Source organism: Homo sapiens, chromosome 17, assembly GCF_000001405.40.
Source record: "Homo sapiens chromosome 17, GRCh38.p14 Primary Assembly".
Classification (NCBI taxonomy): Eukaryota; Metazoa; Chordata; class Mammalia; order Primates; family Hominidae; genus Homo; species Homo sapiens.
In genome coordinates this window covers 81,374,489-81,401,519 of record NC_000017.11, presented here as the reverse complement: position 1 = coordinate 81,401,519, position 27,031 = coordinate 81,374,489, and the positions used below count along the sequence as shown (strand labels likewise).

The 27,031-nt window shown below is 60.1% G+C and overlaps 1 protein-coding gene, 1 long non-coding RNA gene and 1 other non-coding gene across 8 annotated transcripts in view, besides 12 other annotated features; 2 read left to right on the top strand and 1 right to left on the bottom strand.

Moving 5' to 3' along the window:
• Positions 1–6,063, bottom strand: part of BAHCC1 (BAH domain and coiled-coil containing 1) — a 70,875-nt gene extending 64,812 nt beyond the window's left edge. For 4 of the 5 annotated variants that reach the window (NM_001291324.3, XM_047436467.1, XM_011525063.3 and 1 more), the window contains exons 1-2: positions 5,885–6,063; positions 1,603–1,986 (exon numbers count right to left, since the gene is read on the bottom strand). In NM_001291324.3, the coding sequence (NP_001278253.1) occupies positions 1,603–1,780 (178 nt within the window). In that variant the 5' untranslated portion in view covers positions 1,781–1,986; positions 5,885–6,063. Of the gene's footprint in view, positions 1–1,602; positions 1,987–2,198; positions 2,324–5,884 lie in introns of those variants that run through there. The other variant, XM_047436466.1, reaches the window with a different exon arrangement.
• Positions 742–804, top strand: MIR4740 (microRNA 4740). The gene has a single exon (NR_039894.1). It is a non-coding gene; the product is annotated as a microRNA 4740 (primary transcript).
• Positions 4,108–4,716: an enhancer, noted in NCBI's record as "H3K27ac hESC enhancer chr17:79370604-79371212 (GRCh37/hg19 assembly coordinates)". NCBI's record gives its function as "activates a minimal SCP1, AML or CMV promoter by ChIP-STARR-seq in naive H9 embryonic stem cells {active_cell/tissue: H9 hESC(naive)}" and the evidence as "EXISTENCE:reporter gene assay evidence [ECO:0000049][PMID:30033119]".
• Positions 4,717–5,325: an enhancer, noted in NCBI's record as "H3K27ac-H3K4me1 hESC enhancer chr17:79369995-79370603 (GRCh37/hg19 assembly coordinates)". NCBI's record gives its function as "activates a minimal SCP1, AML or CMV promoter by ChIP-STARR-seq in naive H9 embryonic stem cells {active_cell/tissue: H9 hESC(naive)}" and the evidence as "EXISTENCE:reporter gene assay evidence [ECO:0000049][PMID:30033119]".
• Positions 7,351–7,620: a silencer, noted in NCBI's record as "silent region_9125". NCBI's record gives its function as "represses an Ori minimal core promoter by ATAC-STARR-seq in GM12878 lymphoblastoid cells {active_cell/tissue: GM12878}" and the evidence as "EXISTENCE:reporter gene assay evidence [ECO:0000049][PMID:35858748]".
• Positions 7,351–7,966: a biological region, named in NCBI's record as "H3K27ac-H3K4me1 hESC enhancer GRCh37_chr17:79367354-79367911".
• Positions 7,409–7,966: an enhancer, noted in NCBI's record as "H3K27ac-H3K4me1 hESC enhancer chr17:79367354-79367911 (GRCh37/hg19 assembly coordinates)". NCBI's record gives its function as "activates a minimal SCP1, AML or CMV promoter by ChIP-STARR-seq in primed H9 embryonic stem cells {active_cell/tissue: H9 hESC(primed)}" and the evidence as "EXISTENCE:reporter gene assay evidence [ECO:0000049][PMID:30033119]".
• Positions 10,761–11,319: an enhancer, noted in NCBI's record as "H3K4me1 hESC enhancer chr17:79364001-79364559 (GRCh37/hg19 assembly coordinates)". NCBI's record gives its function as "activates a minimal SCP1, AML or CMV promoter by ChIP-STARR-seq in naive H9 embryonic stem cells {active_cell/tissue: H9 hESC(naive)}" and the evidence as "EXISTENCE:reporter gene assay evidence [ECO:0000049][PMID:30033119]".
• Positions 11,900–12,457: an enhancer, noted in NCBI's record as "H3K27ac-H3K4me1 hESC enhancer chr17:79362863-79363420 (GRCh37/hg19 assembly coordinates)". NCBI's record gives its function as "activates a minimal SCP1, AML or CMV promoter by ChIP-STARR-seq in naive H9 embryonic stem cells {active_cell/tissue: H9 hESC(naive)}" and the evidence as "EXISTENCE:reporter gene assay evidence [ECO:0000049][PMID:30033119]".
• Positions 12,458–13,017: an enhancer, noted in NCBI's record as "H3K27ac-H3K4me1 hESC enhancer chr17:79362303-79362862 (GRCh37/hg19 assembly coordinates)". NCBI's record gives its function as "activates a minimal SCP1, AML or CMV promoter by ChIP-STARR-seq in naive H9 embryonic stem cells {active_cell/tissue: H9 hESC(naive)}" and the evidence as "EXISTENCE:reporter gene assay evidence [ECO:0000049][PMID:30033119]".
• Positions 13,018–13,577: an enhancer, noted in NCBI's record as "H3K27ac-H3K4me1 hESC enhancer chr17:79361743-79362302 (GRCh37/hg19 assembly coordinates)". NCBI's record gives its function as "activates a minimal SCP1, AML or CMV promoter by ChIP-STARR-seq in naive H9 embryonic stem cells {active_cell/tissue: H9 hESC(naive)}" and the evidence as "EXISTENCE:reporter gene assay evidence [ECO:0000049][PMID:30033119]".
• Positions 14,962–15,530: an enhancer, noted in NCBI's record as "H3K4me1 hESC enhancer chr17:79359790-79360358 (GRCh37/hg19 assembly coordinates)". NCBI's record gives its function as "activates a minimal SCP1, AML or CMV promoter by ChIP-STARR-seq in naive H9 embryonic stem cells {active_cell/tissue: H9 hESC(naive)}" and the evidence as "EXISTENCE:reporter gene assay evidence [ECO:0000049][PMID:30033119]".
• Positions 16,138–26,082, top strand: LINC03048 (long intergenic non-protein coding RNA 3048). 2 transcript variants are annotated; one of them, NR_164137.1, is made up of 4 exons: positions 16,138–16,391; positions 20,936–21,035; positions 21,639–21,798; positions 25,347–26,082. It is a non-coding gene; the product is annotated as a long intergenic non-protein coding RNA 3048 (long non-coding RNA). The 2 variants fall into 2 exon arrangements; NR_164138.1 differs by lacking the exon at positions 16,138–16,391 and adding an exon at positions 16,395–16,574.
• Positions 21,436–22,035: an enhancer, noted in NCBI's record as "H3K4me1 hESC enhancer chr17:79353285-79353884 (GRCh37/hg19 assembly coordinates)". NCBI's record gives its function as "activates a minimal SCP1, AML or CMV promoter by ChIP-STARR-seq in naive H9 embryonic stem cells {active_cell/tissue: H9 hESC(naive)}" and the evidence as "EXISTENCE:reporter gene assay evidence [ECO:0000049][PMID:30033119]".
• Positions 22,036–22,635: an enhancer, noted in NCBI's record as "H3K4me1 hESC enhancer chr17:79352685-79353284 (GRCh37/hg19 assembly coordinates)". NCBI's record gives its function as "activates a minimal SCP1, AML or CMV promoter by ChIP-STARR-seq in naive and primed H9 embryonic stem cells {active_cell/tissue: H9 hESC(naive and primed)}" and the evidence as "EXISTENCE:reporter gene assay evidence [ECO:0000049][PMID:30033119]".
• Positions 26,083–27,031: the final 949 nt, after the last annotated feature.

Sequence of the window (27,031 nt, the reverse complement as noted above, 5' to 3'; positions counted from 1 at the left end):
AGGGGCAGGAAGACAAGCTTGATAACCACAGGGACAGCAGAAGAGATATTTTTAAATCACCCATCGCTCAGGCAAGTGCTTTTTCTCCTTCTCTTTCCAGTTACAAATCTAGAGGAGAAAAAAGAAAGGGAGAAAAAGAAGGAAGGGCAACAGAGAGAAAAGGGCAGCCTCGCCAAAGGCCCAGGCAGGGAGGGAAGCGGGTGTGGGCCAACCCGGGAAGTGCTGGGGAGACCCCTCCACTGGGCGGCTCCCCCATTCCAATCTCCTGGCGCTGCAAATGCTGGAAGCCCGTTAGCAATTAAGCAATTTCAAGTTTGTTTTTTTCTAGAAAATGTACGTTTTTCTTTGAGTGCCCTCCCTTTTTCCGACGTTTTCCTTTCTAGCCCCGTCTCTGCCATCCGTTTTAATCCACACACTAATTGTAATCCCATTAAAGCAGATATAATTTTATTAGTATTCACAGTTCATCAAGCTACCAATAATAACTGTTACTGCCAATTTTGTTTTTAAAAGCGACAAACATTTCTGATGTTTAGAACAAACTGTAAACAAAAGCCACCCATGTACCAGGGTGACCCGGCGGGTCCCTAGCGCAGCCCTGCGCGCTTCCCCCGAATCTACCCGCGCCGCCTGGTGACCTCTAGGGCTTCAGGCGTGGTAGCTGCCCCTACCCTGACCTCCCTCGACACTCATATCAAAGCCACCGGGAAGAGGGCTGCCCTGGAGGCCTGGGCCCGCTCTGCCAAGGACTGATCCTCTCGGGCAGGGAGTCAGAGGGGACCGCCCGAGAGGATCCGTCCCTGCGAGGCCCAGCACGGCGCCCCACGCTCTCCTCTTGGAGCAAATCCGCCTCGCTCTCCTCTTGGAGCAAATCCGCCGCACTCTCGCCTGCACCGAAATCCTGAGCGCCGCCCCGCGCCACCCCCAGCCCGCGCCCGCGCTGCCCTCCTCCCCGGGCCGCAGGCTGAGAGGCTGGGCCGCACTCTGGCCACGCTTTGTCCGGCTTTAGCGGGATACCAGAGGCACTCGTTAAGGCAAATGCATCCCTGCAAACCCATTCTCGCCCTGACACTTTAAGGCTTTATATAGAAACAGGATTTGCTCGTCTTACACCAGCAGTCCCTATTAACGCTCGCCCGGCGCACACACCACTCTAATCCGCGAGGCCGCGGCGTACCCTGGTCCCCTCCCCCCGCCACAACAGCCGTTTTGTTTCCGCAGAAAGCGCCTCGTTGTCCCAGCCCCGGAACGTCTTAGGGAGGTGAATGCAGAATGCAGAAAAGAGGTTTCCGTGGAATTTAGATCTGCAGGAGGGGGCGGGGGAGGGTGGCGAGGCGCGGAAAGGCTTTAATTTCAGCCGGCTCCGGGGCTGCCCCTCCGAGACCCCCGGGGGAGGGTGGCCAGGGAAGGGCCTCTCTAAGCCGCGGCGACGCAGCTTGGGGGGCTGGCGGGACGCGCGGCCCCGCTCAGCGCCCAGGCAGCCACCGCGGCCGGGGCCGGGAAATGAAACCAAAGCTTCTCTGCTCCCGGGAGCGGAGGGGTGGGCGCCCTGTTCCGCTCTCGAACGCTCCCGTCCCGCGCCCGCCCCGGCCGAGCACTGACCTGTGTGCGAAGCCATGGGCAACGGCGACGGGAAGTACTTTCCCGGCTGGAAGTGTGCGGGGGGCTGCGCGGCGGGCCCAGCCGGGGCGAGACGCGCGGCGGCAGCGGCGCTGCGGTGGCCCAGGCTCCCGCGCTCCGACAGCAGATGCGGCGGCGGCGCAAAGTCGCGGCCATCCATGCCGGGCCCCGGCCCCGGTCCGCCGCCGCTTCCTCGGAGCAGCGCGGCCGGGGCCCGGGGGCGGCTCGGCGCGCGGGCGGCGCAGAGGCGGCGGCGTCCGGGGTCACAGGCGGTGGTGGCGGCGGGGCCGGTCAGCACGCGGGAGGACTGGGCTTCTCGGCGGGCGGCCGCGCACCGAGCCAGCGGCCGCTGTGCGGGTCCATGGTCTGTGGAGGCAAAAGCAGAGGAGACACGGGTGACTGGGGGGCTCGGCTCGCCCGGGGGTCCCCGCCCCGCCCGCTCACCCACTCCCCCCACCCCCCACCCCCGCCGGCCCGAGCGAGCGGCGGCCAGGCCGGGTGGCGGGGCCGGGGCGCTCGGTGTCTCCCCGCCGCACGCGCGCGCAGCCCAGCACCCGGGGCCCCGCGCGCGCACGCACCGTCCCGGCCACGCTTGGCCCGGGGCAGCCGGGGGAACCCAGCCGCACTGCTCGCCGCCTCCCGTTCTCGTCCCCGCGGGTCCCTGCAGCTAGGGCGCCGCGGCGAAGAGGCTGCTGGCTCTGCTGGGTGATAAAAACCCAAATCTGCGAAGCCATCACGCACACTCGCACACACACACACACACACACACACTCACACGCACACCCTCTCCCCTCCCCCGCTGCCCAAAGGTGTCTCGGAGGAAAAGGCCTGGGGTCCACACTAGCTCTCCCCCTCTCCCCACCTCATGCCGAGGTCCAGCTTTTACTGCATTCCGCTTAACCGAATAACCATGCTAATTAAGCGAGTAATTTTATTGATTGTAACTCAAGAGTTTTTTTTTTTTTTAATAACCTTCCTTTTCTCCCCACTCCCATCCCCCTCATGCATCTTTCGGCCCATTCTTCTGAATCCACCGTGGTCCCCCCTCCCCAGCCCCAGCGGGACCAGCTCCTGTCCCCAGCATCGCGCTAGGACCCCAGGCCGGCTCCTCAGAGCCCCGGAGGCCCGCAACCGCCACCGGCATCACCTGGGCCGCCACGCCGCAGTGCCCGGCCTGCTGTCCCGGAGCCGGGAGCTTCCTGTTGAGGCTGTAACAATCACCCCGCCCCCCAATCAAATTCGCCCAGGATCTTCCTCTGCGGATTGGGGGCTTGGGGGTGTGTGTGGGGGGGGTGCTTTCAGAGTCAGAATGCTCTCTCTCAACGGCCCAAATCGGCCCTGGGATTTCTTCCTTCAGCGCCTGCCGGGGACCGCGAGCAGAGGCCGGTCTCCGCTCCGGGCAGTACCGGGCGGCCTGGGTACGCGGGGTCTGCGGCGCCCAGCTCGGCCCTCTAGCCGGGGAAGGTGGGCCCGGCCCAGCACAACCTTCTGCCAGCAGACCCTGCCCGGACCTCGGCCACCTAAAATAACCCTCACCTCCATTTTCTTCCACCCCCACCCAACGCGGAGCATCCACTCAGGCGAAATTGGGGACAATTTTAGACTCTGGGTGCGGAGGGTCGGAGCCAGTGATAGAAGCTGCGTGCACCACCGTGCTCCCAGGCGTCCCTCCGAAGGCGCTCCCTGGACGCACTTCACATATTACTCCTCATCTTCTAAATACGTATTGTTTTAATGTTTATCACCTCCAACAAAAGGGAGATGGATAGGCTTGATATTCCTAATTAGGAACTTTGCGGAAAACCTTGTGTTTTTGTAGCCATTCCACCATGACAACAAAGCGATTAAGATGTTTTCCATCTACTGAATACCTTTTTAAATTGCGATATTTTATGGTCCGGGTTCTAAAACGTCTTATTTGCAGACTATTTTGTGTTTGATTTAATCTATAACCGAAAACATAATGTATTAAGTGAATACATATTTGCTCAGCTGATAAGCTTTTTTAATATTTATTCGGAGAGCTTTTGCATTGTAAATAAATGGGTCTACACAAAGAGTTCTCTTTGTCTGGCAACTACATACAAAGGCGTTTGGGGCTCCCTTCCCTCTGGGGATCGCCAGCTCTCTCCCCGGGTCTAACAAATAGCTCGGCTCCCAAGCCCCGATCCCGGCCTGCAAAGCGAGCGCCCGGCCGCCAGGGCCCGGAGAGTGCTCTGGCGAGGGGGCTGCGAGCGCAGGGGTCAGGGGAGGGGCTGCCCGGGCTGGACTAGGGACGTGGGGGCCCCCAGCCCCGGCCGGCGCCTCCCGAGCCCCGGAGGGCGCCGGGCGGGACAAAGGGAAAGAAGGAAAGGGAGGGAGGTCAGAAACCTGCAGCTTCAAAGGCGCCGAAGGCCGGAGAGGGGCCGGGGGCTGCGCACGCGGGGGTGCCAGGCTTCCTGGCGGCCTCCAGGGAGTCGTGTGTGCTGTGCTTTTGTTTTGTGGTTGTTTTTTTTTTTTTTTTTCTCTCCAATAAGAAATTTCAAAGTTGAGAAAGCGCGAGCTGCCGGCGATTCTCGGGACGCGGGCTCGGCTACGAAGCAACAATTTTAATCTCCCACCCCCTGCGGGCGGATCGCAGGCCCGATTGTTCCTTTCTCACCAGCCTGCTCGACTTTTTAAGCAAACAGGAGGTGGATTACTGTCGCCTGCCTGCGCCGCCACGGCTCTGACCGGATTGGAGAGAGCTTTTCTTTGTGTTCTCTCCTCCCGGGGAGAGGCCGCGCCGCGCCTCCGCGTCTGCCCGCGCCGGGCTTCGGGGGCCTGGGGAGCCTGAGGCGGCCAGGAAGTGGGGCGAGGAAGGGCGGCCACACGGCCCGAGCTGGGAGTCCCACAGTCCCGCAGCGGCGACGCCGCCACCCGCCGAGTGCCGAGGCCCGGGGCCCACTCCCAGCCCAGCTCCAGGAGAGGCCGCGCCGGAGGACCGCGAGGACGGCGCCGCAGCGCCAGGTCGGGCTGAGGTAAGGGAGGAAATGGAGCGAAAAGTGGCGGCGGGCAGAGGGCCCCGGGCGGGCGGAGAATCGCTGACGAGGGCATTTCGGAAGGAACTGAACCTAGGAGCACAGGGCTCCCTCCCGGGAAGGCAGGGCGTGACCCTGGAGCCGCCGGTCCCTCTTGCCGCGGCCCCAGGCGTGGCTGGCGCGCTCCAGGATCTGGAGCTTCTACAAGTTTGCTTTGTTTCCTGCTTTTGCATCTAAAAACCCGCTCTCTCCTCGCCCGCCTGCCGGAGACCAGGACTCTGGCCCGTCTGCCTCCCTCCGGCGTCGTCTCCGGGAGCGCGGGCGCGGTGGGGCCTGCAGGCCGGGCTGGGACCAGGCGCGCCTTGGGGCGCGAGTGGCTCGGCCGTCGCCGCAGAACCCGCTCCCTGCGAAACAGCCGCACCCGCTCCCTGGGAGAGTCATGAGAACTGGGGTCGCGCCTGACCCCCGCGCCCGAAGAAAACCAGCCCGCGGACCCCGCCACACGGGCCGTGACCCGAGCCCCGCGCGCCGTCCCGAACGCGCGCGGTGAAAACGCCCCGCTGCGCCGGCCTTGCTCGGTCCCCCTCCTCCACCCCCACTTCTCCGGAAAAAAAAAATTCTGAATTGGGAACGAAGACCCGAAAAACTCGCCATGACCATTCCCCTCCCCGGCCCCTAGCTTCGGCCCGGAAGGCCCCTCAGGGCAGCGGCCGTGGGTACCACGACCCGGCCAGTTCCCCTCGCCGCGGACCGACCGGGCAGGGCCAACCCAGGACTGTTCCGGGGAGGGGAGCAGGGTAGGGGAGCGAATGTTGGGGTTCGTTCGTGGGTCACCCAGAACTGGGCGCACGCTGGCGGCGCCCGGACTTCGCCTACTGTCCGCCCGGTGCCACCCGCGCGGCTCGCGCCAGACGCAGCCTGGCGGTCCCTGTCCTGTCTTCGAGTATTTGTTTTTAATGCTGGGTGTCGATCGAGACAACAAGCGCTCAGAGCAAAGCAAGGATGCATTACGGGGGTAATTTTAAACCGATCGATAAGATTTTTCAGAGAAAAAAAAATCGCTCATAGTCCATATTTTTTAAGAAAAAAAAAAGCCTCAACATTTTAACGGATTTTGTTAAAAGGGAAGATATATACTTCTTAACATCACAATCCTGAATTTCTTTTGCTAAAAAAAATGTAAAACCCCAAAGCCAGAATAAAAAATAAAATAATAATAAAAATACAAAAACAAAAAAAAAATGAAAGCAATTTCAGTTACTTACTGGAGGCTGTTTCCTGGATACAACTGAATGCAATACAATTAAATCAGTAAATGTGACTTTGTTTTGTATTCCTATTGGTATTTTCAATGTGCTGACTGTTGCACTGTAAATGCACCGCTTCCACAACAACGACTCTAGCGAGCCCATCCAGAGCGGCTCTCAAACCTGCAGCCTGGCGCGGCGAGCCACGGGCCCTGCATACTAATAAGCTCGTGCCACTCAGCCCGGAACAGCCAGCGCGCTGATTGGCCGCGCAGCCCTCCACGGCCGGGAGCTCGTGCCACTCATTCGGCGTAAACAGGCCTCCCAATAGGCTGGCGCCGGGCCAGGGAACTGCCAATCAGGAAGCAGCGGGGCTACTACCAAGCCCGATGGCGCCTAATTCAAGCCCGGCGACTGCGCAGCTCCTCTGCGCAGATCATTGCTGCTGAATGGGAATGTGGTGGCGCAGGGCGGGAGAGGGAGCTGGAGCGAGCGAGTGCGCGTGTCCCGGCGGAGGGGGAGGCGTAGACACAGACACAGACACACACACACACATATATGTTTAATCCAGCAGGTCTAACGTTTGGCTTCTGCCGCACAGAAGGCCAAGGGAAGAAACACCACCACCCCTTAAAAGTAGCTGCTTTTTCTCCCTGGAATCTGTCTGGCAGGTGGCAGGTAGGCCAGACCTCCAAGCCCAGAGGCCTCCCCAGGTTGCCTGGCCCATCTACCGCTCTGAAGCTGCTGCCTGCCCGGACCCGAGCTCGCGGATGCACGCACGCACGCCCGCTGCTTGGGCAGCAAAAGCTTTGAATAGCCCGTCCGGCTCTCTCCTCCCCATGACCTGGGGATCAGACCCTGGGAAGTGAGTTCTGAGTCTCCAGCCGTCTACATTACTGGCTCTCAATTTTATCTCCCTCTGCCACACTTTGCAACAGAGCAGCTACTAAAATGAAAATCAGGGATTTATTGAGAAGACAAGGATTGCCCTTTCTTCATCTACACCTAGATTTAGAAAATATTTTCAGTTTGGTAATGGGGGAAGCGGGTATGGTGTGGTAAACCATGTATAGTATTTCTCAATGCTGCTCCCTGTCTGCCTATCTGCTAAATCCTCACTCCAACTAAAGCAAGCCACTGAACAATTTTTATCGTAATCAGATGCAAACCACTTCTAAAATATTCCGCAAACAAATATTTCTGTTAGAATTTGGTTTCCCACCCAAATGCTATTTATTCTCAGGGAGTCGAGGTGATGTCTTAGTGGCGATGGATACATTTATTTTTGCTCCTCTTTCTCCATGTGAATCTCTGCCTCCCCCTCTGGGGGAAAAAAGGATATTTAAACTAGGAGCCAACTGACAGATTCACACGCATTCGAAATTCTCCACCGTCTCATTCCGGCAGGGACACGAAAGAGTTAAACTCAAAGCCTGTTGTCTCTCTGTTTCCCCGCCCCCACTCCCGCTCCCGCGGGACCGCTGGGATTGGTTGGCACTCCGCCAGTGGACTGTCCATCACCGAGTGTAAACAAGGCGCTGATTGGCTGTTGTCCAGTCCGCACTGGGCCTCCTGAAAAAAGCAATTACTGGCTCCGCGGTTTCAAGGCGGCCCAAGGCCGCTTGATGAAAGGAGATAAGCTGGGGACCGTTTCCAGGATCCCCGCGGGCCGACCGGGGCAGCCCGGGAGCCGAGGTGCGGCGGAGAGCCCGCGGATCAAAGGAATCTGGAGAGAAAGGGGAAGCGGGCGGCCGGCCCCGGCCGGCCTTCCCCCCCGCAGGCCACGCCGACCTGGGGTGGGGGGCTGCGGGCCGCGGGCGGGGACTCCGGGATTTCCCGCCTGCCTGAGTCGGGGCCTACGCCGGCGCCCGCTTCGGGCGGCTCGGCCCGGAGGGGAGCTCCGGAGAGCCCGGGGCTCGCAGGTAAGCACCGGCGCTCCGCGGGCCGGGCCGGGGACGCAGGACAAGGCGCGGGGCCCACCCCGGCTGGCTCGGGAGTGGCGGTCGCGCGGGCCCGGCTCCCGTCTCCGGCGTCTCCCGGCTCCGGCGGCCGGGACCCCCCGCGGCCGAGCCCCTGGCCAGGCCCCAGGCCGGCGCCTTCGGAAGCGACGTCTGGCGGGCCGCGGGGCACGAGGGGGAGAGCCGGGAAGCGTAAATCCCCGAAGCGCGCGGAGATCCGATTAGCGCGCGGCTATTCATTAGGCTGGGGGCGATTGAATTAGGTCCCTGGGCGCGGTCGCCGGCTGGGGGTGTGTGGCGCCGACCCCCGGGCTCTTGCCGTGGCCTCGGGAGGCTGGAGCAGCGAGCAGCGGCCCCAGCGAGTGTGTCGGGGAAGCGGGTGCCTCCGGGTCCCGGCCCCGCGGGTGCAGGCGGAGGCTGCCCGCTTCCCGCGTACACCGAGGACGGCCGGCCCGGCTCCGGAGAAATGGCGCTTGAGAAAGGAGGGGAGGGGAAGGTTCCCGGACCCTGGGCAGGGACCCGTCGCCGGGGACCCGCGGAGCCCTCCGGGGATGGAGGAGGCGCGAGCTGGAAGCGGCGCGCGAGCCCGAGCGCGGGGCTAACACCGTGGGGCCCAGTCTCTCCTGGCTCGGGTAAGTGGACGCGCCCCGAGGCCCCGGGTCCACGCAGGGCGCCCCTCGCAGACGGCGCATTTCCTACTCTCCTAAGGAACCGAGTTCCCATCACTGCCTCCGATGAGCCTGTTTCCGGATCAGGAACCTTTTTCAAGTTAATTTTTAAAGCCTCATTTGAATTTTTTAATATAGGAAAATACGTATACGAGAAAAATCTTGGATGCAACAAAAAGAACACCGTGGCCACCCGTGGTGTCCCAGAAGTTGCTCTGAGCTCCTCGCATCAGGGCAGGTGCTCCACCTCTAACCGCCCTGTGGGGGAACGGGAGGCCCCAAGCCCCTGGGAGTCCTGGTCTCCTCTAGAGTGTGTTGGAAGGACAGCCGCTGGAAAGGCCCCTCAGAGCCCCTAAACCAGCCTCCCCTCCCCCGTGGGCAGATTGTTCGAGGGTCCTGGAGCCTGAATGATGGGCCCTCGGCTTGCCCACCCCCATCCCCAGTCATCAATCACCATTTGAGAAATGCCCACTGCCAGGGACATGGGAGGGCAGAGGGTAGCTCGCGGGTGCGTGGCCCCTATCTCCTCAAGCTGGTTTAGACCCTTCTGGCTCAGCCTCACCAGATTCCTAGGATGAGCACTGGCTTCAAATCCCCCAAGTGCTGGTCCCTTCGTGTCCCCGAAAGAGGCTGCTCGCGTGGGCAAAGGCCCCGAGGCGTCGAGTGCGCCTTCCAGGGCAGTGCGGAAGCTCCCTGCCCTCCTCCTTCCTCCCCACTTCTGCCTCCTCCTCCCCCAGTGTTCACTTGAAGCAAATTCTAGTGGGCTTTTTTTTTTTCAATACTGTTTCAAAACAGTTGTTACAGCAAATAACTGCAGACGGGTCTGCTGGACGCGGTGGAGAGGGGCTGGCAGCTGCCCAGCACAGGCGCCTGGCCGCTGGGCAGCTCCCGCAATACCAAAATAAGCTCCCGAGTTCCCCTGGAAGACTTGGGCCGCCGGGAGCTCAGGCTGGCGATCTGCTCAGAGGAAACCTCCCTACTTTCCTTTTTTACTCTTCCTGCTGTCCAGAGCTAACAAATGTTTTTAATTTCAGAGGAACATGGTGTGGGGATCTGCAGACTTGCCTTCCACTGGGGAGAGGGCCAGCGAGGGGACAGAGGGGGAGGAAAGGAGAGGGGATAATAGACCCGAGGTCAGTGTTGATGCTGGAGGGCCCAGGTCTCTGAAGTTCCTGCAGCTTTGCAGGTGAGCGGGCTGCAAGTGAGGCTAGGCCTGTGGACACCCAGTGGGGCCTGGAACAGTGCCAGGAGTGGCCTTGAACCCCACCTTGATCCCTCTCCAGCAGGATCTGGAGTCACTTCCATGGGCCTGGCATACACCACTCCAGATTTGCCCTCTGGCCTGGGGAGCAGATAACCCCCCGCCCCACATAACCAGCTGCGCTCCTACACCTAGCAGGCCGGCTCACATCACCCTTTAACGCACACTATATTCACACACACACTTGTGCACAGTCTTGAATGTGTGCCCACACATCTGCCTGCACACACTCATGTGCCCACATGTGAATCACTTGGAAGTGTACACAAAACCAAACCCACAGCACAGATGGGCAGACAGGTGAGCCTCGTGCAGCATGTGACACTCCCACATGCACAAGACATGTGTGCAGAGGCATATCACACACGCAGAAGCACTCCCGAGAACTGCCTTCTCCCTTTCAGCCTAGGGGCCCCTGTTCCCCCACAACCGGGCCCAGCCCTGGAGCCCCCTCCAGCACTCCTCTCCCACCCCCACGCTCCCCAAGAGCAGCAGATGTAGGTCTCCCGGCTCCCAAACCTCTGAGATGCTGCTCTGTCTGAAATCATCATATAAATAATCATTTTTTAATACAAGGGGGTGGGGGTGTCAGGCAAGTTCCATGAAATTGTGAATTAGCCGCTGCTCCAAATAAATGCCTGCTTCGGCCCGAGAGCAGCCGCGCTGCGCCCGCTGCGCCCCCAATAATCGTGTGTTGGGTATCTCTCCATTGTTCCCTGGGCCATTAGTCAAAGGGCAAATTAGAAACAATTTCTTGACGACAAAAATTGACTCTTAATTCTTCCCACCAGAGGCGCAGGGGGACAAGTCCAGAGGCCAGGCCTGAGGCTGGGGCTGGCGGCAGGAGGGGTAGGCGGGGTAGAGGTGGGGTAGAGGTGGGGGATCTAAGATGGTTCACAGCACAGAGACCTCCCTCAACTGGAGGGCAGCAGCAGCTCACCCCCACCCCAGAATCAGTGTTCCAGAGGACAGCTGGGGGCAGGGGGTTAGGAACAATCCCACTCCCTCCTGGAAGAGGTCCTGACCCCCCACCCCACCCATCTGCCTGTACGGGTCCCTCTGCTATCGACTGGGGCGAGTTCTTTTCATGAGGGCCTTGCCTGGTGCCTGGAGGGAACAGGGTGTGGGGGAAAGGTCTGTGTGTTCCCCCCTCACCTCCCCTGCTCAGCGGTGTGGCCTCTGGCTCTGGGGAGGATCGGGAAGCCCCAGGGTCCGTGCCTTGGAGTGGGGGGACAGCCTTTTCTCTGCCACAGCTTCTGCCTTTGGAGGCTTACCCTTCCTAGGAGCAGAACTGTTGTGGAGGGGAAGAGGACGGCGAAGGTTCCGAAGGGAAGGGGGCTGCCCCCACTGAAAACGAAGCTTCCAGTCACAGCCCCTTCATTATTTATCAGGACCCAGGGGATGAGGTGGCAGGGGAGGGGGCTGCATGGAGGGAGTGCCCTCACCCTCGTCCCCAGCGCCTGCCCCCTCCCGACCAGGCCTGGGCTGAGGCCCAGGGTAAGGGGGCTGAGGCAGGCCACAGAGGAGCAAGACTTGTCAGGGGCCAGACCTGGGTAGGAGGATTGTCCTCCAGGCACACACGGCCCCCAGCCCCCCAGCCTGTCGAACTGGGCTCTCCCAGAAGGTCCCCGGCTCCAGCCCAAGCAGGGAGCCAGGTTGGGGGTGTGGGAAGGCAGAAGTCCCAGGGATCCTGGGGGAGGCTCAGGTTGTACCTGAAGGCCACAGTCTCCTCGACAGACCTCGGACGAGGTTGTAAGTGTTTTAAAGAAACTAGAGCAGCAGAGAAGAGAGACTCAGAAGCCCGTGGCACGGCTTTCTCGGCGTCCCCTCCAGCGAGGGGGTCTCCATTGCTGCAGTTGCCGGTTTTGTCCAACCAGGTCAGGAGGCTGCCCGGCCCCCTCCCCACTCTCAAAGTTGCTTGTTAAACACAGAGTCGTAATTTGTGGCTAAATATAACTAGTGTGTTCTCACGGAAAGTATAATTCAGGGTGCTCATTGTATGAGGTTATCAACAAGACCCATCTGGGTTAAATTAAAGTGATTTTCATAAAGGGCAGAAGCGCCCCTTTGCCTGGTTTCCCCTGCCTTTTTATTAGTGACAGTGTTATTGTTGCAATTATTAGAGGGGATCAAGGAAGGTGGGAGTTGCCAGGGACCCCCAGGCTGAGGAGGGAGCCTCCCAGCCCCCCTCCACTCACCATTGTCCTGCTGCCCCTCCAGCCCCCTGGTCACTGTCACCTCTGCGGCTGGAGGGCTGGAGAAAGGCCCAGGAGCCCAGGGAACCTCCACCATGCCAGGCTGCCTTCCCTAAAGGCCGGCTCCTTCCCCCCAGGCAGCCAGTCTGGGGGTGGACCTGGAGGGGCAGGGTTCTCTGGGAATCTCTGGGCCAAGGGATGCGCTTTGGGGATCTGCTGGAATAAAGAGTAATCGGTTTTCCTTACAGGAGGTTGACCCGAAACAGCCCTCCGTCTTCCTGCCCATGAGGATGAGGACAGGAAGCCAGACCCGGGAGAGAAAGCCCAGATCAGACAGATGGGGGTTGGGAGGGCCTAGTGGCTGAAACTGCCCTGCTTGGGGACAATGCTCAGGCAGGACCAATCCAAACGAGGGCACTGCTTATGTGGTCCTTCCGGAGCATCCTCCAAGGCAGAGCCTGGCTTCGGGCCCTCCCTGCAAGGACACCTGCCTCCACTCCCTGCCAGACCAGGCCTGGCTGCAGAGGCGGAGGGGCGGCAGGGCTGCCTGTCTCCACTGTTTGGCGGTGTTTACACGTGTCGCTGTCAGGGTGTCTGGACAGTGGGGGTCGGGGGCCTCCCGGGCCCAGACTTCCCCAGGCCTATTCTCACACTGGTGAGAGGGCCCTAGGGGAAGGGTGTGGGCTGGGTGGCGGGGCCAGGCCAGCTGAGACCTACAGGACCGTGGAGCATTTAGGTCTCCCACCCAACTCCACCCGGTCCTCTGAGCATCAGTTACAGAGCCCAGGCAGCAGGAGGGCAGGGCCCAGCCCCTTATCACCCATCCTCAAGGCAGGCAGGAACCCTGAAGGCAGCTTCCACCAGGGGTTCCCTTAGCCCCCACCCTCCAAAAGCCCCAGACCCTGCCAGGCCTCACCCTGCCAGCATCGTGGCCCCAGCTGACGGCTCCCAAGGGCAGGTGCTGGCAACACAAGCAGGAGCCCTCGGGGCATCCCGCAGGGCACACACCAGGTCGCCCTGGGCTCCCCAAGCACCTCCCAGACCCAGCCCTTGGGTGGGTCCTGGCCCACAAACCCCCACGCCCTGCCCCTGAGATGAGCCCCACCGCCCACCTGCCCTCCAGCCCTGGAGACCTTTCTCCCCCTTGGCCATGGCTCCCATGGGGAGGCTGCAGGCCCTCCCTGGGCTGGACCAGAGGGGACAGACTGTCTCTCCCCTGCGACTTCTGGGGGCACTGGAGTCCTTGGCCTGGTTACCTTCAGCATTTATAGCCCTCCAGTGAGTTATTCCTCGGAGTTCTCACAGAGCAGCATGCGCCTGCGGCAAAGCCCTCACCTCCAGCCCCTGGACCACCTGACTGCTGCCTCCCGCCTGGCGCCAAACACGGCCACCGCCTCTTTTGTTAACAGGACAGTTGATCCATTAAATTAAAAATCATTCAATAGATTCATTTTTTTTTTCTGGCCTGAACAAATACGTATTCCATCTCAATTCATGAAGCATCAGTACCCGCTGCAGGGGTAATTCCCCAGGCGGGAGAGGAGTTTCGGGGAAAGTGCCCCCAAAGGGAGACTCCCCAGAAATCCCTTTCCAAGCAGCCAAGGCAGGCAGGCCAGAGGAGCCTGCCCCGGGCCAGGGCCCAGACCCACGCAGCCGCCCGCTCTCCCGGCCACTTCCGCCGGGGCCTTTCCGAGCGAAGTCCATTAGGGCCGGGTCTCTGCGCCTCCCCTACCCGGGGTCCGGGCAATACGCAGCCCCGACCACCGTCCTCGGCCCGGGGGAAGCGCAGACACACACTGGAGGCATTTTCTTCCCTCCGGAATTGATTGGTTTTTGTTTTTGTTTTAATAGCAGGACTTTTCCAAGCAAAAAGTCTCCTGAGGCGGGTGGTAAAAAAATCAAAGCCTCTACATCCAAGCCCGGAACAAAAGCCCTTTGGAAATCCCGCGGCGGGGCCGGGCGCGGGCGGATGCGGCGGGAGGGGCGGCCGAGCGCGCCCGGGACCCGCGTCGGGAGAAGCCGCGCAGCGCCTACCGCGGAGGTCGAGTCTCGGCGGCCCCACCTGCTCCGGAGTCGGCCCTGTCCCTCCGTCTGGGGAGGCGGCCGGAGGCGCCATCACCGCAAATTTATGGCCCGGGTGACGCGCTTCCTACTCCCACAGTGGGGCCCGGTGACATTAAACAGAAAATTGACGAGAGCGGAGCGAAACCGAATCCGTTTCCCTCCAGGCCCGTCCCCCTCGCTTTTCGGGGAGGGGACCAGGGACGGGAGGAAGGGCGTCCCTGAGTTTGTGCGCTCGGGAGCCCGTGCTGGAGGCTTCTCCCAGATTCCAGAGCCCAGGCAGCGTGCTGGGGGCGCGCGACCCCGCCCGGACCGCACCCCTTCGCCGGCCGCATTTCGGGCGGAACCTCGGCTCGCGTTCCACGCGCTCGGGGCGACCAGGCAGAGTGGGGCCCCGCACCCGGGTCGCTCCCGCTCGGAGGGCCCAGGCCGGATGAGGCTCCGACGCGCCCTCGGCCCTCCCTCCGCGCCCCAGCTCCGGGGAGCGCCCCGCTGCCTCCAGCACAGCGGGGGAGGGAGGACCCCGGCTGCCCAGCCCCCACCCTCGCCGCCGCGCCCCGCCCCCGGCCGGCGCAAGTGGGAGAAGAGAGCGAGTGACGAGCGGGGCGCGCCTGGGTGGCTGCCGGGGGTCGCTCCTCTGGCCTCGAGCGCCCCCTCCCTCCGCCCCCCGGCGCCTCCTGGCACCGAACCCGCCGCGCCGCCGCGTCCTTAAAAGCGCCGCCTGCTTTGCTGGCCTTTGGGCGCGCGGCAGGGAAGGTCACGCCGGGGTGGGGTCGGTGGCGCGGGGACAGCGACACTGCCGGGCGCCGGCATACCCCCTACCCCCGCCTCCGCCCCTCCGGGCACTTGCCGCCGCCCTGCAGGCCTGGGTCTTGCCGCACTTGTTCTGTCGTGCTGGGGCACACGGAGCCAAGACCAGAGCCGGCGCATGTGCTTGTCAGAGAGGAATCCAGGGAGCCCTGTGGGGGCTGCTTGGGGAAATGAGGCTGTCATCCCCGCGCCCCAGGTGCTCAACGGGGAGGATAAAGGAGCCCTGGCCTGCGGGAGGCAGCCCCAGGGGACGGACGGAGCCCTGGTTCAGAGCCCAGAGAGGGCATTGGAGGGCCAGGCCTCAGCCAACTCCATTTCTCCCCTCTCTGGCCTGCGTGGGCATCGGGGGCATGGTGGGTACCAGATCCTACCCTGCCTGCTCAACCCTCTAGACAGCCTGGGACACAGAGGGCATGGTGGCCATGCCCATTTTACAGATGAGCAGAAGGAGACTGTGAGAGCAAATAACGTGCCCTTGTTCACACTGAGGGCCTGGGTGCGTAGGCTCTGGATTCTTCTGGAAAACTAGTACTAGGGTTGGCTGACTTTTGGGCCTGGGACAACCCTAAGACTCCTGGCTGGGGCAGACATGATGCGTCCCGACTTCTGCCTTGTAGACCAGGAGCAGAACAAAATGGGCCTCATGACCAGCCATTGGGCGTCTTGGCCACAGCACCCACGGAAAGATGTGTCAGGGTCCAGCTCTTCCTGGGAAGCCCCTCCGAATGCTCCCGGCCAGCCTGTTTCTCTGGGATGAGGCCCCAGCAAGGCAGATCGCAGCCTGCAGCCGGGAGGAACTGCTAATATATGGCAAGAGTCTGGAAACCAGATTCCAAAAGGTCACGTTGGACTGGAACCAACAAGATTACGTTGAACAGGCTGGATGTGAACCTCCACTTTCAGGTTCAAAAATCAGTTGTAAAAATGCAGGCAGCTTCCCACTGAAGACTTGCTGGGCCAAGCTGCAGCTGTCTGCACCACTCAGGCAGTTCATCCACGCCCTGTCTCCCCAGCACAGGCCCTCTTGTGCATTTCCCTGAGCCCCAGCAGCTGAGCCTGCGCCCTGGGGTGGGAGTGGGGGATCCCGGGATGTCTGACCCGCTGTCTCTGATGTCAGGCCGGCTGGGGGAGGGGATGCAGCTGGAGACAGCAGAGAATGGGGTCCTTGTGCCACTGTCATCAGGCCCGGAGCTTCCATGAACACGGCTTTGTCTGCACCCATACCCCGTGGTGACCACGGGACCAGGGGATCAGTGGGCCTCTGAACAAGAGGGGCGTGCAGAGCGGCTTTTTGGCCTCAGTTAACTCTTAAATGGGTGTCAGAGGCACTGTCTTCCCCTAGCTATGCGCCTCGTGCCTGGGAGCCTTAGGGCCACACGGAAGGGTAGAAATCAGTTTCAGGTCAGGAGGTCTGGAACAGCTTTGTTAAACCCAGTTTTTTTCCTATGAAAATGGCTGCAGACACTGGGGGAGGGAGAGGGTGGCCCTGATCCCGATGACTCTGAAACATGCTTGGCCTTCCCCAGAGATTCCTGCTCCCAGCCCAGGCCCAGACGGCAACAGAAGCTCATGGTGAGTTCACCCCGGTCCTGGTCTGGCACCTCATTGCTGGGGAGGTCTCGGCAGTCCAGAGGAGGTAGCCCCCACCCTGGGCATCCATCCGCCCAGGCCCCAGCCTCCGCGGGAAGACCCAATTACAGAAGAGAGAAGTATGTGGAGACCCTTGGCTGAGGTTGGGGGTCCTGGAAGCTGGAGGTAGTGTTCCTGGGTATAGCATGATGGGTTGATGGGTGGGTTTTATTCTCTTTTTAAGGATTTTTTATATTTTTCAAATTTCCCTTTTGAAATGTATTCATTTTGCAATCAGAAAACAAAACAGGCCAGGCGTGGTGGTTCACACCTGTAATCCCAGCACTTTGGGAGGCTGAGGCGGGTGGATCACCTGAGGCCAGGAGTCCAAGACCAGCCTGGCCAACTTGGTGAAACCCCGTCTCTACTAAGAATACAAAAATTAGCCAGGCGTGGTGGTGGGCACCTGTAGCCCCAGCTACTTGGGAGGCTGAGGCACGAGAATCGCTCGAACCCAGGAGGCGGAGCTTGCAGTGAGCTGAGATCGCGCCACTGCACTCCAGCCTGGGCAACAGAGAGAGACTCTGTCTCAAAAAAAAGAAAACAAAACAAACCAGTGAACACTACTCCAAACAAATGTCCAGGCCCAGAGATCAGAGGCTGCAAGGTGGGCTCTGTCCCCATGTCCCCAGCCACACTGCTGGGGAACCCACAGGGTGCCAGGTCCCCTCAGCCCTGTCCCTGCCCCACAGGCCCCTGGAGTGATTGTAGGCTCTAGACTGCCTCAGTTTGCCCCCAGCCTCCCCTAGGTGCCCGGGGAGCCACTGGCCAGCCTCCGGTCGCACTCCACTCAGGGCTTGACGGGGAAACAGAAACCAGCCTTGAACGCCTTCCCACGCCCCAAAACGCCAGGGTGCACAGTGAGGGGAGCCCTGGTCAGATGGCACAGATGGCATTCCTGCCCGCGAGAGGCCCAGGACCCCGGGGAGCCAGAGGGGCAGGGTGCCCGCAGCGTCCAGGCAAATGGGCCCAGGCCCCCCGACACCCAGCTGAGGCCAGCTTCCCCCAGAGCGGTTTGGAGCCCTGCCCTGGAGAGGGGGCAGCTCGCCCAGCGTGGGGGTGATGCCACCAGGTGGTGAGGCTGCTGGGCAGGGCTGGACCCCCTTTTAGACTCCCCTTCCGATTTCTGTGTCCCTGAGTCTTGCCCATGCTACAGCCTAACCCTGCCGTGGCCAAGGGACAGCGGGGCAACAGTGCCCTCCCCGAGCTTGCCCTGGGACAGCCGCCTCACTCGGAGGAAGCTGGGTTTTGCCGAATTTTCTGCATGATGGGGCTCCGTGGGCTGGGGGCCACTTGCCTCCCTGCACCCGTCCCAGGACCCCAGGCTGCAAGCTGGAAACCCCATGGGGGCGAGTGGAGCCCTGGGACTCCACAGGAGAGGGTCCTCTGTGACAAGAGGCTCCAGGGGACACAGGCTTGCGAACATGGGGGCTGGGGTGGGGTCAAGGTATGAACAGCGCAGGCCTAGAAGCCTCAGACTCTGAGGGGCAGGAAAGAGTCCCCAAAACGGAATCAGAGGAGGAGCCCGGGGTGGGGGGAGGAGGAAAGGGGCGCAGTGGGCGCTGCCATCCCTCCTTGGGGCACATTTCTTCCCGCCCTGACCAAGAGGAAGGGACCCTCCTTCCTCCAGAAAGGACTTCTCCGAGCCCAGGACACACGAGGAAAGCGAGGCTCAGTCACCAGGAAGCCCTCACTCTCCGTCAAGGCCACCAAACGGGAAGAAGGGGAGCCAGGATTTGATCCCAGGCTTCCCTCCCAGCCTGCACGCTGCTGCACTACCCAACCCTGAGGACCCCAAGAACCTCTGAGAATGTGGGATTTTGGTTCTGAGCCTCCACGGGGCCCGTTGGTGGCCTCTGGTTCAGGACAACCAGAATTGGCCCAGACAGCCAAGCAGCCAAGGGGCAGGCTTTGTAGAGTGTGGGGGTCTGTCCTCCCTCATGGCCAGAAGCAGATCCCACCCCTCAAATGCAGGTGGGGTGGGGCAGGGGCTCCGGCTCCGTCATCTGGGCTCCAGTGAGGCTGCCCGCTCCTGCTCACCTGCACAGGAGGCTGAGGGTGGGGCCCTGGGGGAGGGGCTGCCCCAGGCTGTAGTGCCTGGGAGAGCTGGGGGTGGGGAGGGGACAGGCAGGGGGCAGGCAGATGGCCTTCCTGCTTGGCCCTCGCTGCCAGGTCTTGCTGCCTCCTCCTGTTGGGTGATTTAGATCATTATAGACCTGAGGTCCCACCAGGTGCATTGGCTCATGCCTGTAATCCCAGCACTTTGGGAGGCTAAGGCGGGTGTATGACCTGAGGTCAGGAGTTCGAGGCCAGCCTGGCCAACGTGGTGAAACCCCATCTCTACTAAAAATACAAAAATTAGCTGGATGTGGTGCCGCACACCTGTAATCCCAGCTACTCAGGAGGCTGAGGCAGGAGAATCGCTTGAACCTGGGAGGCGGAGGTTGCAGTGAGCTGAGATCACGCCACACCCCACAGCCTGCAGCCTGGGCGACAGAGCGAGTCTGTCTCAAAAAAAATAAAAATAAATAAATAAATAAAACTGAGGTGCAAAGTTTAAAGGTTTGGGTGACACATCAGAGGCAGACTTGGGGAAGAAGTGTCTGTCCCACCCTCCCAGACCACATCCTCTAAGGGCTTGGGCCCCGGGGATGCTGGGTGGCCCCTTGGAACTGTGAGGAGCTGACACATGGGTGGGGACCAGAGGAGGGGACGTGGAGAGCCCTGGTGAGGATGTGGGCGCTGGTGGGGACTGCCTGGTGTGTGATGGGGACAGGAACAGGCATGGAGATGGCCCACACCCGAGACAGTGGGCTCCTGGGGCCACCTCTTCTCCACACGGCGGCAGCAGGTCTAGTTCGGGCCTAACAGCCCAGCCATCCCTGAGAGCCAGCGCCGAGGGTGCAGCAGCTGCCTCCTCTCCGGGCCCACCGGACGGTCGCCGTCCTGCCAGGAGCTCCCGTGCCCATCGCCAGAGAGGGAAATGCTCCTTGGTCTCAGGAGGCAGCGGGGCCCGGGACTCACATGGACCTGGGCCCAAGTCGACCAGTTCCAGCTGGGCACACTGGGAAGGTCACCCACCTCCCGAGCCCTCCATGTCCAGGCCATTGTGGGAAAACCCTCTCCAACAGGGGAGTGAAGGGACAGGATGGAGCGGGAGCGGCGCCAAAGCACGGGGAGAACCAGAGGCCGCAGGTGAGACCCCGCCGTGGGCCATGTCCCGTCTCTTCCTCTGAGGGCAGGCGTTTCACCCGATCACCCTCCCGGCTCTCTCGGCCACCCCTGCTTGGGCTTGCTCCTGTCTGGTGTTGGGTGACCTGCCTGCTGCTCTCAGACCCCACACCCGTTTGTGGCCTCATGGCCATGAGTGGCCCCGTCCCCGACTCCACTGCAGTGGGCACAGTGGTGGCCCCCAAATGATCGGTCCACCTGGAGCCTGTGAACACGACAGGCTTATTTGGGAAAAGGGTCTTTGTCCAGAGACAAAGGCCCTTAGAAGACAGAGGTCGGGGGAGATTTGAGAGGGAGGCGACAGAGGCCACGTGAAGATGAGGCAGAGATGGGAATGACACGGCCACGTCCACGGGACACCTGGGGCCACCAAATGCCAGAAGAGGCGGGAAGAACCTCCCCTGCAGCCTGCAGAGAGAGGACAGTCCTGCCGATAGCTTGATTTTGGTTCCGGCCACCAGGACTCGGAGAAAATAGACTTCTGTTGTTTGCAGCTGCCCCATTTGTGGTCTTTTGTTGGGTGGCCCCAGACATAATCCCAGCACTGGCCTGGCCCGGCCCATGGGCAGCTGTCCCCAGCCTGGCGGAGGGTGTGGCTGTGATGTTACCCCCAGGATATCCAGTACCGCAGTCTCCATCTGAGCCGCCATCGGGCTGTGGGGTGCCTGCTAGCCTGTGGCAGAAGGACCAGGACCTGGGGGCTGGCAGGGAGCAAGAGCTGAGCGAACCAGCTGGGAGGAAGGACTGAGGCCACACCGGTGTCCGGGGGGATTCGGACGTCACCAGTGTGGAGTCTGGGGGTGTTCTGACTGACTTTAGACAGAAATTTCTTTTTCTCTCTGGAAAGGGCGGCGGTGGGCCCGTGTGCAGGGGAGCGTGGACTTGGAACTCGGGGAGCCCTGGGTTCTGCCTCATCCTCTACATCCCTGTGGGGCCACGTCCACTCACCGAGGGGTTCTTGCCGCCTTGACTGAGGGTGGCCGGGCACCAGCACCTTTGCAGCTTTGCCCAGCACCTTGGCATGGGGTCGGGGGCGGTGCAGAGTTCTGTTTTACAGGGAAGGGAACTGAGGCACAGGGAGATGACAGCTCGCCGCTGGTGCTGACCATGGGCTCACACTGCCTGGCCGCCCGTGCAGCCCCTGCCCTCCATGACGAACGTGCTCATGTTTCCTGGCTGCCCCCCGGCCCCACTCCCACCTCCCTGGCTAAACAAGGGAGATCTTGATGTGAGTTCTCCTTTTTCCTTTCTGGAAGGAATGGCAGACTCTGGACATGCTCCTAGAGATGGGAGGTCAAAATGATCAACGTTCAGGGTCCCTTCATCTCAGAGGGTCTCGAGTCACCTCATTTAAAGGTGGGAACTGGGGATCCTGGAACCTCCCCTGCACCCCAGATGCTTCTGGGGCCCTTGAGAACTTGCCCTGAGCTGTCACCTGGCCTAGACTCCCAGCCACTTTCAGGGCACAGAGAAACTGCCCTCACTCTGAAAATGTGGAGACCGGGACCCAGAGAGGTAGAGTGACTTGCCCATGGCCACACAGCCTGTGAAGGATGACCAGGTTTGGTCTCCGCCAGCTGTTCTGGCTCTGCTCCTGCAGTCAACAGCCACCACCCCTGAGGCTTGCCTGGGGCAGGGCGGGTGGGGAGTGGGGGTGGGGAGTAGTGGGAGTGGGGGGAGAGCGGGGGGGATGGGAGAGTGGGGGGAGCGGGGGAGTGGAGCGGGAGGATGGGAGGCAGCGGTGGGGGTGGGGGGAGCGGGGGGGGGAGCCAGGGGGATGGGGGCTAGTGGGGAGGATGTGAGGGGAGGCGGGGGGGGAGCGGAGGGGTGTGGGTGTGGGGAGTGGGGGGGAGCAGGGGGTGGAGGGGTAGGGAGCGGGGTGTGGGGGGAGCGGGGGGCACAGCCAGGTGCATGTTATGGGTCCAGGGCAGCGACCTAGTCCATTTGTCCTTTTCGAAGTGTGGCCTGGGACACCTCCTATCCAGCCATACGCCGCCCAGGACTGGCTCAACAGCTCCACCCTCCACTGCTGTTCACCCATGACACGTCACTTCCCACCCGCCACTGCTGGCTCACCTGTGACACCCCAGGCAGCTCAGATGCCCGGCAGGTCCTGCTGGTAAGAGGGAGGCAGGAACTTGTCCTGTCTGGGACCCGGGCATTGCTGGGCGCCGGAGGGACCTGGGACCTCAACCACGCTGGGAGCTGGCCTGTCGTACAGGCGGTGCCTGGCAGATGTGGACGGGCTCCGCAGGCTCCTGGCGGCCCACCCCTGCCTTCGTGCCATCCTTCCTGGGAGTCTCCTGGCCAAGGAGGACTCGAGGCCTGTCCCACCTGTGCCCAGGGCTCACTGTGGCTCCCTTCAGCGGGGCTCTGCTCTCTCCCCGCCTGCTTCCCCTCCAGCTCCTGGGCTCTGCCCCAGCATCCCCCCGAGCCTCTCCCATTCCTGGCCCCAGCCTGGCCAGGGATCCCAGAGGATGCCTTCACCAGCCCAGCCCCTTGCCTGGTGGATCACCACTCCTGTCTCCTGCTGCTCTGCCCCCTGCCCCGGGCCTGGGAAACCTGGGAGGACCCTGAGGGAGGGTCAGGGATGTGTGACACCAGCAGGAGGCTGACGAGTTCCCTGGCAGGAAGCACACTGCACAGGGAGCCTGCCGCCATGCTGCCACTCTCATGCCCCTGCGGGGCCGCAGAGAGGGATGCCTAGGGCGGGGTGGGCAGTGGCTGCCGTAGGGGAGGCGCTCTGGGCAGTGCTGTTCCCTGAGAAACTGCAGCCCCAAGGGGCCTGGGCAGGGCCTGGCCTGACTGAGTGGGATTGAAGGGGAGGTAGGGTGGGTGTGCCCTATGATGTAGGGCCTGCTGCACCCTGGGGAGGGGACCCAGTGCAGTGATGCCCAAGTTCCAGCGTTCAGACTGCCTGGGAGCCCTGAGACTCCCTGACCCAGCAGGACGCCCCATCCTGGGTGAGGGGGAGAGTGGGGTGGGCCAGAAAGCCCACCCAGACAACTGAGACCCCTCCCCACCTGCTACCCCATCTGCTTGGGCCCAGGAATAGAGGGGCCAAGGCAGACCCCTCAACATACATGCTGAACCCTGATGTGTAGCCGCCCACACACCATGAGCCCAGATTGTGGCATTCAGTATTTTTTCTGACATCAAAACAGTCTTGGCAGGGCACGGTGGCTCACACTTGTAATCCTAGTACTTTGGGAGGCCGAGGCAGGTGGATCACCTGAGGTCAGGAGTTCGAGATCAGCCTGGCCAACATGGTGAAACCCTGAAATACAAAAATTAGTCAGGCATGGTGGTGGGCGCCTGTAATCCCAGCTACTCGGGAGGCTGAGGTGGGAGAATTGCTTGAACCTGGGAAGTGGAGGCTGCAGTGAGCCGAGATCGTGCCACCTACACTCCAGCCTGGGTGACAGAGCAAACTCTCTCTTAAAAAAAAAAAAAAAAAGACCAGGGCCCGGCGTGGTGGATCATGCCTGTAATCCCAGTACTTTGGGAGGCCGAGGTGGGCGGATCACCTGAGGTCAGGAGTTTGAGACCAGCCTGACCAACATGGAGAAACCCCATCTCTACTAAAAATACAAAAAATTAGCTGGATGTTATTGCGGGCACCTGTAATCCCAGCTACTTGGGTGGCCGAGGCAGGAGAATCACTTGAACCAGGGAGGCAGAGGCTGCGGTGAGCCGAGACCACACCATTGCACTCCAGCCTGGGCAACAAGAACAAAACTCCATCTGAAAAAAAAAAAAATACTGAGCCAGTCCATGTGCATTATTTCATTTCTGGTGGACTCTTCCCGATGTTAATTTCACCTGAGATATTTATGCATGTGCTCATGTGAACACACACGTGCGTCAGCACACACTGGCCTGCTCATGCACACACCTGCAAGTGCTGCTTCCAGCCTCCTGCCACGAGGCCAGCCTGGCTCCCTCCCTGTGGAGTGGGCTCTGCCCACGGGGCAGATGGACTAAGACGAACGCTCGTTAAGCCCCCCAGAAGTTGCCTGGCTTGGCACTCTCTGCGGTATCTGAGGCGGGGCTCACTCGCCCATTTGACAGATGGAGAAACTGATGCTTAGAGATGTGGAGTGAGTGCCTGACTCCCCCAGCGCCCCCGGAATCCCCCAGCCCCACCGACTCTCCCAGATCCCCCGACTCCCCCAGCCCCCCCAACTCCCCCAGCCCCACCAGCACCTGCTCCCACCCTCCCCAAACTCAAATTGCACCCGCCCCAGCTTCAGGGCTTGGTTGGGGTTCCCTTTTCAGTCAAGGTACAACATCCAGGCGGTAAAATGCTCCCATCAGCCACTTACTGGCGCAGTGGCTCATGCCGGTAATCCAGTACTTTGGGAGGCCAAGGCGGGCAGATCACAAGGTCAGGAGTTCAAGACCAGCCTGGCCAATATGGTGAAAAAAATTAGCTGGCCGTGGTGGCACATGCCCGTAATCCCAGCTAGTCAGGAGGCTGAGGCAGGAGAATTGCTTGAACCCAGGAGGCGGAGGTTGCAGTGAGCCGAGATTGTGCCACTGCACTCCAGCCTGGGTGACAGAGCAAGACTCCATCTCAAAAATAAATAAATAAATAAATAAATGCTCCCATCTTTGGGCTGCAGCTCAACGCGTTCTCACCCATGAGATTCTCGTGCAGCCCTTGGGTCTTCAACCGGCACTCCAAGCCCTGACCAGGGTCCGCTGCTGAGGCCCACCTGGCAGCTTCGCCTTCCTCAGGCCTTGGTCCTATCTTGCTGCTTGAGTTCGGCGTCATGCCTGGGAGATTCATCCGAGTTGCCACGTGCATCAGTGGCTCCTCTTTGTTGCTGAATTATATTCCGTTGTAGGAATAAACCACGCACGCTGACCCAGCCTCCCACTGATGGACATTTGGGTTATTTCTGGTTTGGGGCTTGTTGAATGGTGGCACCCAAAATATGTGTCCACCCAGATCCTATGAAAGGGAACTTCTTCGGAAAAATAATCTTTGTAAATGTCATTAATTAATGACATTTAATTACAGACTGTTATTTATTTATTTATTCTTTTTTTGGAGACAGAGTCTCACTCTGTTGCCCAGGCTGGAGTGCAGTGGCGCGATCTCAGCACACTGCAAACTCTGCCTCCTGGGTTCAAACGATTCTCCTGCCTCAGGCTCCCAAGTAGCTGGAACTACAGGCATGCACCACCATGCCAGGCTAATTTTTGCATTTTTAGTAGAGACGGGGTTTTACCATGTTGGCCAGGCTGGTCGTGAACTCTTGGTCTCAGGTGACATTTACAAATTAATTAATGACATTTACAAAGATTATCTTGGAGTTGGGTGGGTCCTAAATCCAACGACAGGTGTCCTTAGAAGAGCGAGGTGGAGGGAGACTAGACACAGATACCCGGGGGGCATTGCTGCTGTCCCCAGAAGCTGGGGAGAGGTGCCGGAAGGATTTTCCCTCAGAGCCTTCAGAAGGAGCCAATCCTGCCCACGCCTTGATTCCAGGCCTTGGCTTTACAGACTGTGAGAGAATGCAATGGTGTTGCTTTAGGCCACCTGACTGGGGAACTTTGTTACGGCATCCCTAAAGAAACACACAAGGGCTGTGATGAGGAACTCTGCTCGGCAGGTTCCTGTTTGTGTCCCTTGGTCACAGAAGCCCTTCTCCGTCTCAGGTGTGTGTTAGCCGGGGTCTCCAAAGAACCAGAGCCAGCAGGGGACACACCCATCTCTGTATCTGGAGAAAAAGATCGATGAGAAGGAATCTGCTCCTGTGATGATGGAGGCTGACAAGTCCCGAGAGCCACGGTTGGCACCCTGGAGACCCCTGAGGGTGATACCACCACTCCAGGCTGAAAGCTGGCAGGCTTGAGACCCTGGGAGAGCTGGCCCTCTGACTCCTGGGACTTCTTATTCTATCCTAGTATTTCCTCAGCTGAGTGCATGGGGCCAGACCACACTGGGGAGGGCAGTCAGCGTCACTCAGAGCACCGGGTCATCTCATGCAGAAACACCCTCAAAGAAATAGCCCAAATTATGCTGACCAAATATCTGGGCACCCCGTGCCCCAGACAAGTTGACACAGAAAATTAACCATCACAGGTTAACTCCATCCAGGAGTGGAATTGCTGGGTCATAGAGAAGGCATAGGAATTCACAGAAATCACCAAACGGTTTTCAGGCGGTTGTGCCATGTTAAACTCCCACTGGAAAGAGAGGAGAGCTGTGATTGTTCCACGTCCTCAGCAACGTTTAGAATAGGCAGTCTTTGGCCGGGCCGGGCACAGAGGCTCAAACCTGTAACCCCAGCACTTTGGGAGGCCATAGTGGGTGGATTACCTGAGATCAAGAGTTCAAGACCAGCCTGGCCAACATGGTTAAACCCCGTCTCTATTAAAAATGCAAAAATTAGCCAGGCGTGGTGGTGCGTGCCTGTAATTCCAGCTACTTGGGGGCTGAGGCAGGAGAATCGTTTGAACCCAGGAGGCAGAGTTTGCAGCGAGCCGAGATCGCGCCACTGCACTCCAGCCTGGGCAACAGAATGAGACTCTGTCTCCAAAAAAAGAAAAAATAAATAAAGAAAAGTCATTCTGTAGTTTTAGCCTTTGTGAAGGCATGAAGTGGCATCTCATTATGGTTTAAATGCTTATTTCGCTGGTGACTAATGAGGCTGACCAGTTTTTCACTGCATTTAGCCCTTTCAATGCACTTCAGGTCTGTGAAGTACTTGTTCAAGTGTATTGCCCATTTTAAAAATTGGTTTGTTTATCTTTTTCTTATCAATTTGTAGGAGTTCTTGATATATTCTGGGCAGAAGGCCTTGGTGTAGAATCTATTAAGACACACCGAGGCGAACGGTACATTTGTCTGCAACTTACCTTTTGACTCTCTTGATGGTGTCTCAAAGTTGTTGATTTTAAGGAAGCCCAGTCTTTTATGTCGAGTCCCTTTGTGTTCTATGTTAGAAATCTTTGCTGACCACAGTGTCTTCTTCTTTTTCTTTTGAGACGGAGTCTCGCTTTGTCGCCCAGGCTGGAGTGCAGTGGCGCCATTTCAGCTCACTGCAACCTCCGCCTCCCAGGTTCAGGTGATTCTCCTGCCTCAGCCTCCCGAGTAGCTGGGATTACAGGCATGCGCCACCATACCCAGCTAATTTTTATATTTTTAGTAGAGACAGGGTTTCACCATGTTGGCCAGGCTGGTCTCAAACTCCTGACCTCAGGTGATCCGCCCACCTCGGCCTCCCAAAGTGCTGGGATGACAGGTGTGAGCCACTGTGCCTGGCCTGACCACAGTGTCTTGAAGAGATTTTGCTATGTTTTATTCTAGAAGCTTTGGGGCTTATTTTTCACACTTTGTT